General features: G+C 33.0%; 1 protein-coding gene across 5 annotated transcripts in view; it reads right to left on the bottom strand.

Moving 5' to 3' along the window:
- TRHDE (thyrotropin releasing hormone degrading enzyme) overlaps window positions 1–16,716 on the bottom strand; it is a 583,493-nt gene that overhangs the window by 119,161 nt on the left and 447,616 nt on the right. For all 5 annotated transcript variants that reach the window (XM_017019244.2, NM_013381.3, XM_017019243.3 and 2 more), the window contains one exon: window positions 9,242–9,307. In XM_017019244.2, coding sequence (XP_016874733.1) covers window positions 9,242–9,307 — 66 coding nt within the window. The remainder of the gene's footprint in view (window positions 1–9,241; window positions 9,308–16,716) is intronic.

Below are 16,716 nucleotides of genomic sequence, written 5' to 3'. Positions count from 1 at the left end.
ATGACTGGACATGTCAAATGGTGGGGTATGTGAACTGTATATACAAAACTAAGCAAAGCTGGTACAGGAAGATAAATTATAATTTTGTTTTGTTAGCACAAAACATTAAGAAATGACTTTTTAACACTTATATGTGTTATTGTTCTTAAATGGAAAAGAAAATGATCAGTAAAATAATCATAGGGAGAAACCTTGAGCAGAAGAGAGAAGGTGAATACAGGAGACCGATTGGAAAAGAAAATTAGATTCAGTGTAACAAATGGGTACTACCATTTCTTTGTGTGCCATGCTAACATGAAGCTCTCTCTTCCATAAACAAAAATACAGAGGTAGACCAAAAGAGAATTTTGGATGCATATGAATCTTTTGTAAACCAGGTTCAAAACATGTAACTTAAGTCTTTGCAACACTCCTAAGCCACTAATTTGTAACGTATTTTTTCATAACAATAATTTTGACATATTAAATATAGAGGAAAAATAGTTTGTAGTAAATATGTTATAGTTTGTTACTTTTATTTTATAACTATATAAAGTTACTAAAAAGAGAATAAGACCTCAATTTTAATGCATAAGACACATGGATAAATGTTATAAAAGAATAAATGAAAAGAGTGAAATGCAAGCAGAGAATGTATTAAAATATTTCATAGTCTCATTTATGATATAATGTATACACTGAAATAATGGAAAAAGTTTTTTACTTGCTAAATTAGTAAGAAATTTATTTTGAAAATTTATAAGAATCCTGTTTACTTAGTGTAGTATAAACAGAGAACTTTCAAACTTCTAGCATTATACACTAGTTTAACATTTTGGAGAAAATATTGATACTATGCTCCTAAAAATATATATGAAGAGATAGTTGAAAATATAATGGAAAAAATCAACAATGTAAAGATTATTAGAGTGTTATTTAACAAAAATTAGACACCAAAGTAAATGCTCACAAACATGGACAAAGCGAAATATATTATGGTACCCCTACGTCATATTACTAGTATTAAACTAAGCTATGTAACAGAATCATGTCAAGCAATTATAAAAATATTAGTAAATGAGGAGAAATATTTTTAAATTAGGAGGAATTTTTTGTAACCTTTCCAAATATATAGTTCTAGGCTATTACATGCACTTTCCAAAAATAGAACATAAAATAAAAAGAAAAATAAATTTTAAAAGGAAAAGAAAGAAAACTGCTGATGCAGAAGCTAAGTAGGTTACAGAAAAATGCCTGTAAGGCAAGTTTATTGTACTACTGAACTAGCACTTTAACCAAATGGCAATGTGTACAAAGAGTCAGAGACAGTTTTTAGCAGGTATGTCCATAATTACAGATTGGCATCTGTAATCGGCATCTGTAATTGGCATAATTACAGACTGGCATCTGTAATTACAGATTTACACATACTAACATACAGATACATCCATACATCAACTAAATATGTCTAATAATTTCATAGATACATTTAAATAACCAAAAAGTCATTTTATAATATCAACCCGATTAGCTAATATGTAATACATCTTGAGCCCTTAACTAATAGATAAAAGATAACCAATAAATATAAATTTATGAGGCCTCCTGTTGAGCTAGACAAATGCCTGCAGGATTATTAAATAGAGATATATATCTCTAAAAATACGAGTTTTTTAGTTAATATTATATAGCCACATTGGTCGGTTAACAACCTTTAAATTAGAAGCAAAATAATAAAGATTCAATCAGTGGCTATATATTTTAAAAATTGATGAATAAAAGTTATTTCTCTCTGATCCAGAAATATGAATACAGAATGCTATTTACTTTTTTTAAAGTATTTGTTTGTATTAAAGATGGAATTTTTAATTCTGAAATCCATCAAATCTTTTCTCAAACTTAAATATTTCTTTCTCTATAACATGCTCATTAATTTTCCGTTATAGTTAGGTCATTAATAAATTAAATGCCAATTAAGTCAAATCCAATAATTAAAAAATTAGTAATGATAACATTATTATCATATGACATTGAACACATCAAATTATTTTCAAGTTATTAACCTTTTTACCGATAGCATATCTAAAACTGCACAGCATTTTAAGCAAAACTAGGAGACATTTGAGCAAAAGCTTCTATGGTCATTCATTTTAGATTGAGTATGATTCAGCTGCCATCTGGATAAAAACACAATATTATCTCTTCAGAAAGAAAATTAACTTTGACATACTGTCTCTGCTCCTCTATGATTTTCTGACTTTTTACTTATCTGAAAACCTACATGTAAGGGACAAAACACTCTCTCACAAATGTAAGCCTGCAGTTTTCAACTAAAAATCCTGCATACACATGTTACCACATAACACCACATTGGAACACAAGTTATTGAGTATGTTGTTGCTACTAATAATCCCTATGGCTTTGTGCCTGTCATTACCTTCAGGCTATCAGAATTTTATGAGCACAAACCAATAATAATGATATTTCCTTTTTGCTTTTTATCCACACCTCATTGCCTTACATTGATTTGCATAAGCAATTTCCACCCTGATAATTGGAGCCAAACATCTTGTTGTAGGTTACCTTATGGAAAAGAGCAGTTAAATACTAATCAAGATAAATCTTTCTTTATTCAACCATATTTTAGATGATGGTGAATTACCCTCACTGCTTGAGCAGGAAGGTGACTCAATTTCTGACAGGGATTTTAGGCTTTGAGTTTATATCAAGCTTAATAATGATCTTTCTTTATAATTTCAATACCCTGGTGTTGACTCATAACAACATGAAGAATGGTACTACTAGGCTCAAATCATTAAAACAATATTGTTTTGTTTGAAAGAAAAAGCCATAGCACAGGTACTAATTTTTTTTAATAGCTACCTAGCCAATCAATTTTATGTGAGGATTTCATAATTACAGCTTTAATTTTTATTTCCAGAAAAATCTGAAAAAAATGTAATTAGGGAGATTAAAACATAAAAACAAAATAAGAAAAATCCAAGTCATGTAAAGATATATATCCAAAAGAATAATTACTTGAATTACTTACTTTAAAAGTAAGACTTATTCTACTTACGTAGAATCAGGATTTGAGCTATTGAACTTAGATTATAAAAACAAGGTTAAAGAAGTAGATTCTAATTTATTGATCAAATGAATATTTTAACTATAAGCATTGTTGTATATGGATGAATAGTAATGTATATGTATGTAAGCACTAAGAACCCTGTAAGTCAAAGATGCAATGCAAGAATTACCAAAAGATGCTGTAAGGTGAGAAATTTTTATTACAGAAGGAATTTAGATAAAATATTTATTTATAGGAGAAGGGAATATTTCAGGGAGATATGTGAAATCACTAAGAACTTCTACAGAGACAGACAAAAAAATGAGGGCAAAATTGCAGTATATTTATACTCCAGGTACCACACAGAAAGGGAAATTCAACAACACTGGGTCCTAAAGTCTGTCCAAGAGGAAGAGAGGATAGAAGTGGGTTTGCACTGCATATATTCCACCCCAATGTTACACTAGTAAGGACTCTACTTACATTTGCAACATTTTAATGACAAAACCAGATTCCAATAGTATAAATATTAAATAGGCATGAAACCCATGAGTGATCTTGCTAGCTTGTCCTTACAAATGACCTAGGAAGGAATTTGGAGATGTGTATACCACAAACAAAAATGAGGTGCTAAAGATAAGAATGATATTATATTTAAAAAGTGTAACTTGAGCTTCTGTGCAAGAGACAGTTTCTGGTTATTGCCAACCTGCCTATTGCATTTCTCACTGACTCTGCTTAAGTTGCAATAGGTCATGTATTATGCAGATGTTTTCTTAGTCATCATTACTCTTTGGAATTATTGCTAGGAGAAAGTCCTGGGTTGGGAGAACACATAATCTTGCTTTCCAGATGTCCTGTATAGAGGTGGTCTTAAATCAAAAGCAATTTAGGCAAACTGCTGCTGTACTTTAACTTATCCCAAGAGGATTGGCCCACCTGGGGAGGTAGGAATGAGGATCCTACAGTTGTGATTATGCAAACCAAAGGCTAAATTCGTAAGTTAATCAAAAAGCAAAACAATTATTCACAGTAGTAAACTCCCGTCTTTTTTCCAGATCCTTATTTTATGAGTAATCACTTTAGAAATTTACAAATTTTATATATTACTGGTACTGATTCATCCTGATATAATCAAATCAACTCATTCAAAGAGAAAATTGGACATTACAGACCACAAGCAACTGGATTGAAGTTATGAGGTTAGTAAAATGTGGTAATTGTTGATTTGATTTCCTTATATCTCTCATCATATGTCCTGGTAAAATTGTTGAAATCAGCTGAGAACATTCTCTGCTCTAGCTAGAGAAGTATCATATGGTCTTAATACAATATTAAGGAAGAGATGAATAAAGGAGTTAATACTTTTTAAATCTCCATATGGTAAAAAAAAAAAACAAGTAAAAATAATGCAAATAATATTTAATCAATAGGACAAAGACATTTATGGATCAAATGTGTCAGACGGTTAGCCATTCACCACCACTTCCCCTGCCATCTACACTCCTGTGCACTGTATGGGTTAGAAGCTTGAATGCTACATTTCCAAGAATCCTTTGCTAGTTAGGTTCAACTTTATGTTCTGCAAAATGAAAAGCACACATAAAAGATATGGATAGCAGTAAAGAAGGAGGAGTTGTCACTGCTCAGATAGCAGAGAGCAGGCATGTGGGCTTTGTCAGAAGGCAGGGGTAAAGTATTACCAGTGGCTTTCAGGTGTACTCTAGGCAGCTGAGAATTTGTGTATTACTTCCCTATGAAACCCAAATGCCTTTATTTCTGGAAGGCTGGCAGTGGCTTTCCTGACCTTTACTTCCATAACCCTGCCAACAGTTTTAGAAAATGACTATATCCAATGTTAATTCCCTTTCTGCTTGAAATATTACTAAGGGTTTTAGTATGTTACAGAATTATGTACCAGAAGTGATTGTAGACCCTCAGAGATGGTTATCTACAATTGTTTGCCTGCCTTGATTAGATTTAAAGAAGGTAATGTCATTAATAATGAGTGATAGGATCATGATAGTTAATCATTTTCAGAGCCAAAACAGCTTCTTAAATGATCATCGATAGTTTCCTAAACTGAAGAATAAGCACTGGGAAAACAAATGACTGTTTCAATAGAACATTATAACAGAATAGAGAATTACAAAGTCTTTGAGAGGCTTGGCTATTTCTGCCTGGACTGGAGAGATTACAAAAACCAAAACAACAACCTTAGTGCTTTAAATTCTCAGCTGAAGGTTTGGCAGGGAACCAGAGATCTATGACTATGTGAAAAGAATCATGTATCTCTTACAGGCTTTGAATCAATGTATCCAAAAAGAAAACTATGATTTAAAATTCTGAGTGGCAAAATTACAACTCAAGTAAATTTCATGGATTTATTAGATCTTTTATGTGAGAGTTAGGGTATTGACAAGGAAAGTGTAGGATGAAGAATCGGAATGCAGGACTTGAAGGTCTAAATTTCACTGAGCCACCGTGGTAGCTTTTCTTGTCTCTGAAAAAGTAAATTCCCCTTGTTTGAGTTCCCTGTAACGTCACTCATCAAGGAGGATGTTGGCTCTTCTCAAAACCAACTCCAATATACCTAAATGCAAAACCAATAAATAGAATTGGTTTCACCAGATTTCAAGAGTTCAAGTAGAAATTCCAACATTAGAAGATGGAATTTACACTGAAAATCACCAAGAAATTTCAACAGTTCTTAGCATATAACATCTAAAACCACTGTAGCTTAATCATAAAATTATAAAGTATCCAGAGCCAATTATGAAAGTGAACAAGTAAATAAAAGCCAAGGAAATAGAAGTTGTTTCCTTATACTAGCAAAATAAAACTATTACCAGCAAAAACTCCCTGTTACAAAAATGCTGATCTGGTTTGACTACAGTTATAGTTCTATATGTATTGATAGTCATATAATACAGTCTAAATATTCAAATGATTAAAGATTCAAAAAAAGGGAGTCACTCACTCTTGCATATCTAGTTTACAAATGTGTCCATCAAATTAAAACAGCTGTCCCAAATTAAATATATCAAACCCAAATTGTCTAACTAGTAAACTGCATTAAAGTAATCCTAGATTTAGAGAATATAAAAGATAAAAGGAATCTTACAGTATTTAGTTCAACTCTTAAACATTTCATAACTGTAATGTCAGAGGTCAAGAGAGGTCTAGTGACTTGCAGAAAACCGCTATTAACTGGAGATAGAAATGAGAATTATTTCTCCTTATTTATTCTATTGCCTCATGTTTCTCAAAATATGCCTGCTATCATTTTGGGAAATGGATTACATAGAACAGTAGACATGTAGAATTTGCAAAAATGTAAACATTTTTGCATTTAAAAAATATTTATTAGTGACACATAATCTAACCACAGAAATGTTCAAGCTCAATTCAGTCCAGTTCCACTTTCAATTAAAACATTAAAATGGAAGCTAATTTGCTGGTGGTATCACCAACAAATCACCAACAAAAGCTGTGATTGTTCAGTAAGAAATTGTTCTCCTAAACTTTCTCATAGCTGAACCAATGGGTAATATGACTATAGAAACAAAATTTTTCTCAGAAAGCCTCTAGAGTCTCTTCCTGCTGAAAAATATATGTTTAAATTGAAATTTAAAATATATTCCCATACAAAACATTACAAAAAATTGAAAATGTAGTTGAATCTACACCGATGCTTTATAAGTTAAATATGAGTATGTGAACTAACCCAGAAACCTACTACCTTTCTATATTACATATACATATACACACACACATATACATGTATGTATTTTTAAAAAGTTTACCTTGTTTCCAAAAGACCTTAAGGTGGGTCGTAAGGATACATAAATTGCAAGAGAACACAAATTTCAGGTAGATAATAAATCAAGAAGAAAGAGCATTAAGACATTGTTCCTATGTGGAACATGAAGTTTAAGGTCTGAGTCCAGAAAAAAAGAAGAAAGGAAGAAAAGAGAGCAAGAGAGAAAAAGAGAAAAAAGGAGAAAAAAAGGGGGGAGAATAAAAACATATATGAAAAACACACTATCTGCAATTTGGAATTGCAAGTAGTAAACTTTCATTTGTCAACATGGAAATAACCATGGTTAATGTAAAAACAATTCATAGGTTTTCCAGCAGAGATAAGTGCTGACAGCCTAGATTAGCTCTTTCAACAACTTGTAAACCAAGACTCCCCAGGGCCTTCTGGATGGGAAGCACATTAATATCAACTCTGTGACCACTCAGCACCATGACATCAAGTGTCTATTCAGGAGGTCAACTCCAAAATGTATCCCATACATCTTCATGCACAAGAGATGATAATTTATCACCTAGATGTAGGGATCTACTGTAAACTAATCCAAACTGCTGATGATACACTAAATCAGTTTGAGTGATGAGTATAAATAAAGCTGCAAGCGAAGTACTGAAGGATACAGATCTATCTGATCAATGAGATGTCACCAGGCAAATGAAATGCAGTGTTGACAAACATAGAGTACCTCAGTTGAAAATTAACCATATCAAGTATCAGAGCATAAAGGCACACATTAATACAAGCTTGGAATGAAAGTTTAATATGATATGAGTCAGAGGCTATATTCTAACTGTTTCATATAAAACTGAGCAGAGTGGGTCAGTGGAAAAGAATGTATTAAAAATTGATATATTTTGCACACCATAGAAAGTATGACAGGATGAACAAAAACGTTCATAATAATAATAATAATAATAATAATAATAATAATCCTTTCCAAATAATAATCCTTTCCAAATAATATAACTGTAGTTATTCAATCTGCTGAGCAAATCCATACACACAGATGAAGAAAAACAATAAGAATTTTATACAGAAAATGATTTCACATCAACTTGCTATGAAGAAATCAAATTCAATTTATGTTGCCCTTATGAACAGTTAGATATTTTCTGAAACTGTCATGCTACAACTTCAATGGGGAAAAACAAAGGAATGGGGATAAAGAAGGACATTCCTCCAGATAGCTGATATTCATGAAGGATACTCCTTGAGAAAAAAAGATTTTCCCAACTATGTGATCAGAATAGAGCTGTTAACATACAGCAAATAGATTCAATGGATTCAGCTATTCTGAAGGTGTCCCTAATGGAAAGAGCTGATTAAAGTAAATTTCAAACCCTGCTGGAACAAATCTGTAAAAATATTTTCTGAGGGAAATTATTCTTCAAAAAATTTATTTTTATATATAGTTTCTGTTGTGTTAAGTATAGAGAGAGAGTTTGTCATAACATAGTTAACTCTTGCCTTGTATTTTATCTTTCAATTTATTTGGGGGTACAGATAGAATTATACTACTAAAATATGACCTGGACCCAGATGTAGTTTATTTAAATTTCAAAATGAAAAGCTTACTAAGAACAGATAAGATTGATTGCTCTCTCTGTCTTAGCATAATTGTGTTTCAGGTGAACATCAATTTACTTTAAAGGACACTTCTAAGTAGCAGAATGCATCATAAATAATTCATCAATCACAGCTACTAGGAACATGATTTGCTCCAGCAGATTCAATGGAATAAAAGTTTTTTCAGTATACTTGTGTCTGCTTTAAGAAGTTTAATAATCTTCCTTTTCTAAGAATTCATTCTTAGATTCTATACTTCATACTCTAAACACATTATGATAAAAACTGTATCTTTTTCTTCCTTTTTTAAGAAAAACATATTTTCTAATTAAAATAAAAACAATTAAAAACCTTTGGAACAAATAATCTATGTATATCAACAGCAAAATAACAAAAACCTAAAAGGCGCATATTTGAAAAATAGCCTTAAGATTTCTCAAATACATAATTCGAATAACACTAACAAAATTTGTTTCACCTTATTTGAATCTTTAAATGGAAGAAAAAGAAGGCAGTCTTTCTGGAAGTCTTTTATAGAACATTTAGAATCTGGCATATTTTAAAATTACTTCAATTTAAAAATGCAAATCAAACAGATTCTAAATTGTTCAACAGTTCAAGTTTTGTCAGTTGATATCGTGAGTATCCTATCTAGAATTTTCATTTGTCATATAGAAAGACATTGCTTAACTTACACATCTTAAAGTTTTCCACCAAGTTCAGCAATTTTGTATTAGCCATTTCCTAAGCTGTGAAATATATTGACAAGGAAAAATGTAAAAGAAAATAAAAAGCATTTTACTTACTTGCAAACCCCTCTGGAAAACTGAATGGCCCATAAAATTAGCCAGCATTCTTATTAAAGCAGCACCCTATAGGAAAGAATAATAAAAAGAACAGAATTTCAACAAAGTATCATGATTGTAAAGTTGTTTTACTCAAATCTAGTCTACTTCATTCATGCTATTCTATTTTCAAAAATAATTAAGAAACAGCAGTATCATGAAAACAACATCCAACTTAGTGATAACAATTTCATTTTTTTGGTCTTGTGAATTTTAAAGTTTTGTGTAAAACCTACAACCACAAAATGGAAGTCCTCTAGAAAGAATATCTCAGGGCAATGATAAGCTGTAATTCAGGAGTACTCAATATTTTATTGAACACTATATATGACAAATTTAATAAAACATGATTCTTTTACTTACAATCTCATAATTTGCTCAGGGAAGGATACCCATGTTAATAAATAATCATATTAAAATATAACTTTGAAGTAAAATAGGTACTGAATGTACTCCTTAACCAAGAAAAGTTTAGTTGTGGAAGTAGAGAGTAGAGTACCAAGAAGTCAGACTGTCTGGGTTCAAATCTTAAGTCTGCTACTTACTCACCATGTTTACTCAGTAAGAATATTTCAGCTCTCTGCTCCTTACTTTTCTCCTTGTAAAGTGTAGTTAATAGTAGTTATATTTAATATGGCTGTTCTAAAGCTTAAATAACTCAATACATGTAAAGCAGTTTGAACTAGGTCTGAAAAATAGTAAGCCATATAGGAGTGTTAGCTACCAGTATTATTTCAAATTGTCTAATCATTTTCATTTCCTATTTCTTTTTGAGGTTGTATTTAGCTGCATACATCCATATGCAAGTAAAACATATGAGATCAATATAAATAACTTGAGAAATAGAAGAAAATACTAATTTGAAAGAGTCTCTCTCATCTTGAGAACCATTATTATAATATGGCAGAACAACATGAATGCAAAAGGTAGGTACGTAATCAATATGAAACATTCCAAGGAATTACAATTAAGTATGGATGATAACAAATCTTCATGTAAAATATAAATAAGCCTTCAAGAAGACACTTGACCAAATTGAATTGGTATGGAGCAGTGGATTGTAAGCAATGAATGTTTAAATACAAATGGTAGCCTGGATTCGGGGTTACAAATTGCTTTATGACTACACATCCCATTTCATACTCAGTACAAATGTACAACTGCAATAATTCATTTCTTGCAAGATGTCTCTTTTTACAAGAAAATCGTAAGAATCACATATAGAATCATTCAGCCAGGGACTGGACTGCTGTCCAGTCCAGCAACACAACAATGAATTTCCACAGTTTGTTACTAGAATGATTTGTTAGAATTCTGGGACTTGAATGTAGTGCAATACTCAGACTATGAATCACCATTAAAGATGTGTATCAAAAAATTTCAACCACCACCAAAATTGCTCCCAAGTCAGTATTTTATTCTCATCTCAACAAATGATAGGCTGAAATATAATAGTTTTATGCCTTTTCTGATTTTTTTTCTTCTCACACCTTCCATTCATTGCTCTTTCTTTAGCTTCTTCCTCTTTATCTTCTGCACATTTGTATATGACCATGAAACATAAGCATTTATGATTCAATCTGAGGACTAGATTAGAATTCCCTTTAGAACATATCAGCTCTGTTCCTTGAATTGCCTTGACAAGCTCTCCTCCTATATATTTCCCAGTATAATCGACCCATCCCGAGGGTGGAAACTGTCCATTTTTCAGCAAACCTGACCATTGCCAACTGGGAATTGAGACTTAGTATCTAAAGCAGTCAACTCAAACTTTCCTTCAGCACTGAATAGCCATCTTCAGATGATTTAGGTGTTTCCCCCCAGGTAATGATGACTTGGTCTCTTGTCAGTTTATAAAAACTATTAATCTAGCATGGTCTAATGACACAAGAATGCTTTCTGATCATAAAGAATGTACCAATTTTCCTGTCTGAATTAAGCTGGAGAGAGTGGTAACAGGAAGGAAAAACTAGAAGTACAATCAGTATTCAAAAGTTATAGAATATCACTTAGCTCCTGATTATATTATATTGTATAACTCAATTAAGTTTTAGAAAATATGACTATGTTACCCATCTGAACATTTTAATAGTCTCTGGAGTGGCATGCACTCTTCTATGTTTAACTAGCCTTTTCTTTCCAAAGCTAAAATTCAAAAATCCTTATTTTATAGAACTTCATAGACAGATGGGCTCTCCAACTGTCATGGTTTAGCCAACATATACTAAGCACATACTATGTATGGATTATAACAAAGATCACAACCCCTAACACAGGCAGAGCTCATTATAAACTTTTTTTAAGAAAACTCAGAATCCTTTTTCATCATGCCTTTAAAACATTTGTTTATCAAGCAAACTTTGTTTACAATATTGTAACTTACATTACCTTGTGATTCAAAACTCCAGCCCCAGTCAAACAAACTGGACATTTAGGAAGCCCGAGTAGCTTTATGAAAAGTAGACATACTATTTCTGCAAGATTTAATAATTTTTGAGACTTGCTCTAGAAAACTCATCACTGTTTGCTAAACTAACATTCAAGGATATATTAGGATATCTACTTGATTTTTCTAAAGTTTCATAGAGAATATTCCACAAAAGTATGCTTATAAACCCATTCATCATTTAGCAATTTTTATATCTGGAATATCTTTTTAATGTAAGTTCCCACCTAAATTTTCTTTTATTTTACATTGTAGCCATTTGCATGCACATCAGTCTCAGAGGTATTAAACATGCCCAGAGAAAAAACTGTGTCCTCATGACTTGGTACCACCCTCTTCCTATGTCTGGCTCAGAGGAGGTGCTCCCTTAATGTAAGACATGGATAACAGAGAAAGAGAAAATTCTGCATGCATAGCAATTACTTTGTGTTCTTGTAGAGGAGCTATTCAGCCAGGATATACAGTCTATTGCCTCACTGGTATACTTCAGTGATAAATCCTCACTTTTGGAGAGGGAGATCTTCTCAACTAATTTCTTTCTTTAGTGCATGCTTATTGAATAAGGTGGTATGTTTGGTATCCTAAATGACACAAGTCTCTGTCTTTGAGGATTTCAAAATCTCATAAGTGAGATGAGATGCAAAGCAAAATAAAATGAATGACAAGAGAAAGTATTCTACTGTTTTCAGAAGAGGGAGAGGTTATATCTGGAGGGACAAAGGATAACGAGGGTCTAAAGAAGTGTTATTTGTGTTGAACCTTGGAGGATGGATAAGGGTTCCATGAGTTAAGATAAACAAAAGGCATTTGCATGTTATGACAGGAATAGACTTTATGTGGTCAAATAGGCGTGAAAGTGGAAATCACAAGTAGGGAAGTTTATATGGAAAGACAGTAAATAAAACCAGAAAATGGAAGATTAGATGGAAAATAAGATTGAGACAGTTTTTAGAGGACTTTGAATACCAGGGATAAGGAATTTGGAAAATTGGTTTTCAAAAAAGTCGGGACTTAACTGTGATACTCCAAGGAAGAAGTAAAGTAACCAGAAACAAATGATAACAATGATAAAAATCAGAGATAGGTTTAAGAAATGGAAAGATAAGTTTGTATTTTAAAGCTAGAGTGGATGATGACATTAGCAGATATACAGAATTTAGAAGAAAGTGCTGGTGAGGTGAATATAATAACATCTGTTTGTAAATGTGCTGTTTGAGGAACAGGTATAGAACCCAAGGAACAGAGGGCAAGTTCAACCACAGGAATAAAATTGAGTGGAAAGTTACGATTGAATAGATAAATTGGGAATTAGAGTGGGAGAGTCTGCCAAGAGAAAAGTTCTAAGGCTTTAGTAAGAAAAATAGAAAACAGAATCGTATAATTGTTTTCTATTTGTTTATTCTGTTTTATGACTTGCACTTCAGTGCTTGTAACAGGCGCTCAACAAATATCCATTGAAATCAACGAAGAAATGACATTAAGAGAAAAAAATGACATATTGTGATAAAAAACAGAAGGCAAACTGGGTATAAGCAGTGTCATAGAAGACATGTTTTAAGAATTAGTGCTTCAGATTTCAAGGAAAATAATAGCTAAGAGAAGGCCATAGTAGGCCATATTTAAGAGAGAGATATTTAAATAGACTTGTGGGTGTGAAAGCCAAGTGAAAACAGAAGGAAGAAAAGAGAAAGCTAGAAGCAAATTCACATGAAAGGTTTGTTTGTGATTTTCTTTGGTAGAAATGGGAGAAATTTTTTTCTGCAAAGCAAAAGATGACCCAGTGGAGATAGAAACTGAAGACACAGTCAATCAAGAAATCATTATTGAAGCAAGATTCCAGGAAAGCTAATAAGAATTTAGATTAATCTTGGGAAAGAATAACAACAATCTACTCTGAGACAGGACTGAGGCAGAAAAGGGAAATAAGAAATAAGAAAAGATACATAAGAGATGTTGAAGTGTAAAGCACAGAGGTTAAGAAAGTACATTGCACAAAATAGATTGTAATCTCCATCAAGGTGGGGAATTGGTCTGTCACCATTATACGCTCATTGCCAAAAACTGTTCCTGGCACATAGCAGGCTCTCAAAAAATATTGAACAAGTGATGGACCATCACTTTCCAATAATATAGGAGATGTGGTCTGAAGATAACATGAGTTGGAAAGACTGGAAGTAGGTTTGAAGTAACCCATTGAAAACGTAATTAGGAGTTTAAGACGTGGAAAGGTGTAGAAAAGTTGTAAGTTGTACTAGTCCGTTCTCACACTGCTATAAAGAACTACCCAAGACTTGGAGATTCATAAAGGAAAGAGGTTTAGTTGACTCACAGTTCCACATGGCTGGGGAAGCCTCAGGAAACTTACCATCATGGTGGAAGGCAAAGGGAAAGCAAGCACCTTCTTGTGAGTGTGAGCACGCAGGAAAAACTACCACTTATGAAACCATCAGATCTCATGTGAATTCGATTACTATCATGAGTAACAGTATGGGGGAAACCGCCCCCATAATCCAATCAGTTCCCTTCCTTGACATGTGGGGATTACAGGTCCCCTCCCTTGACAAGTGGGGATGACAATTCGATATGAGATTTGGGTGGGGAAACAGGGCCAAACCACACCATAAGTCCTAGCTGAAGTCATCAATAATGTATCTGTCATTCATTAACTATTTGTACTACATGCTAAGGCCATAATATCAAAAGGAAAATATTACTATCTTTATTTATCAGGTCAGAAAATTGAGGCATAAAGTTTACACACCTTGTAGAAATTGACATGGGTAGTAAACAATGGAGCCAGAATTAGAAACCCACTTATACCCACCTCCAAAATCAATAATTTAAACGAATTTAGATGACCTCTTGTGATCCCAATTCAAAATATTTACATGACTGTCTCTAGAAACATGGGGTATAGCAAGAACTTAGAAAAATAAAGGAAATTCTTAGAGTTACTGAGAGTTTGGAATCAGTGAGATGCTCACAGAAGAGGAAGAAGGAAAACCTAATTCAATGGGACATAGTTGAAATGCCTGACCCATATTCCCAGGATTAGGGATAAAATAGAAGACAGATATGAACTTGCAGAATAGGACATGTTTATGGTCTAGGAGACATAAAGCTTCTTTATGGCAGGTTCAGTAAGAACAAAAGGCTAGCAAAATTGAAAATAGTGATATTTTTATTACTGTATGTGGATGTGGCAGCTGTGAAAATGCACTGCTCAGATTTCCCACTGCTGCCCCTCTGCATTTACCATCACAAAGGTCACTCTTTCCTCAGTTTACTCCTAGCCAATCACTGAGCAGGACAGTGTAACAACTGCAGACCTGTTCTAGTGAGACAGGAGACTCCACCAATGGATAACTCTAACTAGACGACTTGTCACTGGTGTGGATGAATGTGTTTTTGCAATTGAGCTAAAGTCTGAAACTATCAACCTGACGCCTCTTCCTTTCCTCTCTCCTTGCAAAGGCTGTCAATTGTAATGTGGTCTGAAGGCAGGTCCCCCTACCTTCTCTGGCTCCTTTAACAAATAAATCTTTTGCATATAATGTTTTCTCCTTCTTAGAAAATCTGGACTAACCTAGTAGCTCCATTTTTAGTGCAGAAGTCCACACAAGTGTAAATTAATGATAGGTCCCTAAAATAAGTTGGTAATGAGAATACTCTAGTTAACAAGTAGCACATCCATCAAAACAAAATAATCTTTTCCTTCTTAGTCCTTTCAGGAAATCTTTGGCTAGTATATAGTCTACACTACAAATGTCTTAGCTTAATGGTTTGCTCTCCTCCAGCACAAGAGAAGTTAAGAAATAATGTATCATTACTTTCCGTTGACATACAGGAGAGACTGAGGTGAAGGGATTAGGTGCTTTGTCCAAGTTACTTGCTTCCATTCACTCAGTTGTTGAGTTCTTTGATTAGCAAAAGAATTATGAAGTAAGAATTTCTTTTTACTTTTTGAGTTACTGAAAGGATTAGTCTATTGATTCAAAATCAAAGTACTTTTAAAATGTAAATTTGTAAATGATGTTTCTGCACTAATTCTGGACATATGTGGAAATAAAACAATGTTCTAACAAGATTTGTTCCTGAAGCATGTCTTTTGGTATGGAATAAAAGCATACCTTAAATCCTCCATGGTTTTTTGAAAAACATGTTTTCTTCGCTGTTTTTTTTTTCCATAATAATATGATAGCTATATTTAGCATCTGAAGAACAGAAAAAGAAATACCTAATCCTGAATATCCCTTACTCACAAGTTGATTACAAAAAAGAAAGGCAGAAAGAGAGGATAGAACAAGGGAAAAAAGAGAATGAAAGGGGAAAGAAAATTAATTCCATACAAGAAAGCAGAATTAATGCCCCATTGCTTCAGTTACCCATGCTTGGAGCCTTGGAGTCCTCTATGATTTATTACTTCCTGAGGCCAAGCCTCTACCTCTGCATAGCTGAATTATTTCACTGTCTCCTAGAGACAACCCCAGATGGGTTCTCACCCTCAGGAATCCATCCTATGGGCCACATCAGACTAATTTTAATAATTATTTTAGAAGCATAATGTCTGCTAAGAGTCCTGGTTCTGTCATGTACTTAGGCATGTGAGATGATCTAAGTATCTACAATTAGAACATAACAATAAAAATGATGATGACAACTATATTACTACCTTTAATAATAAGAACACCTATTTCAAAATTTTTCTGAGAATTCATTTAAATTATTATAAAGCACTAGATACTCAGTGTTTAGCATATAATAAGGTTTAAAAAGTATATAGGTATTGATATCATCTTCATCATCACTATCATCATTTTTATGTTAGTCCCCTGCCCCCCAAATCTCTACTTTAAAAAAAAGTCCTGTGGTAGTAATAAAGGCCATACATAATGAGATTCACCACTACTTACCAATGCTTTTTTCCATGTGACCAGATAATCAGCTTCTACACTGGTTAAGCTCTTCTTCCCATTATCCCATGAGCATT

The sequence above is a fragment of the Homo sapiens genome, chromosome 12, assembly GCF_000001405.40.
Source record: "Homo sapiens chromosome 12, GRCh38.p14 Primary Assembly".
In the NCBI taxonomy this organism is placed as follows: domain Eukaryota; kingdom Metazoa; phylum Chordata; class Mammalia; order Primates; family Hominidae; genus Homo; species Homo sapiens.
This window is presented reverse-complemented; position numbering and strand designations above follow the sequence as displayed.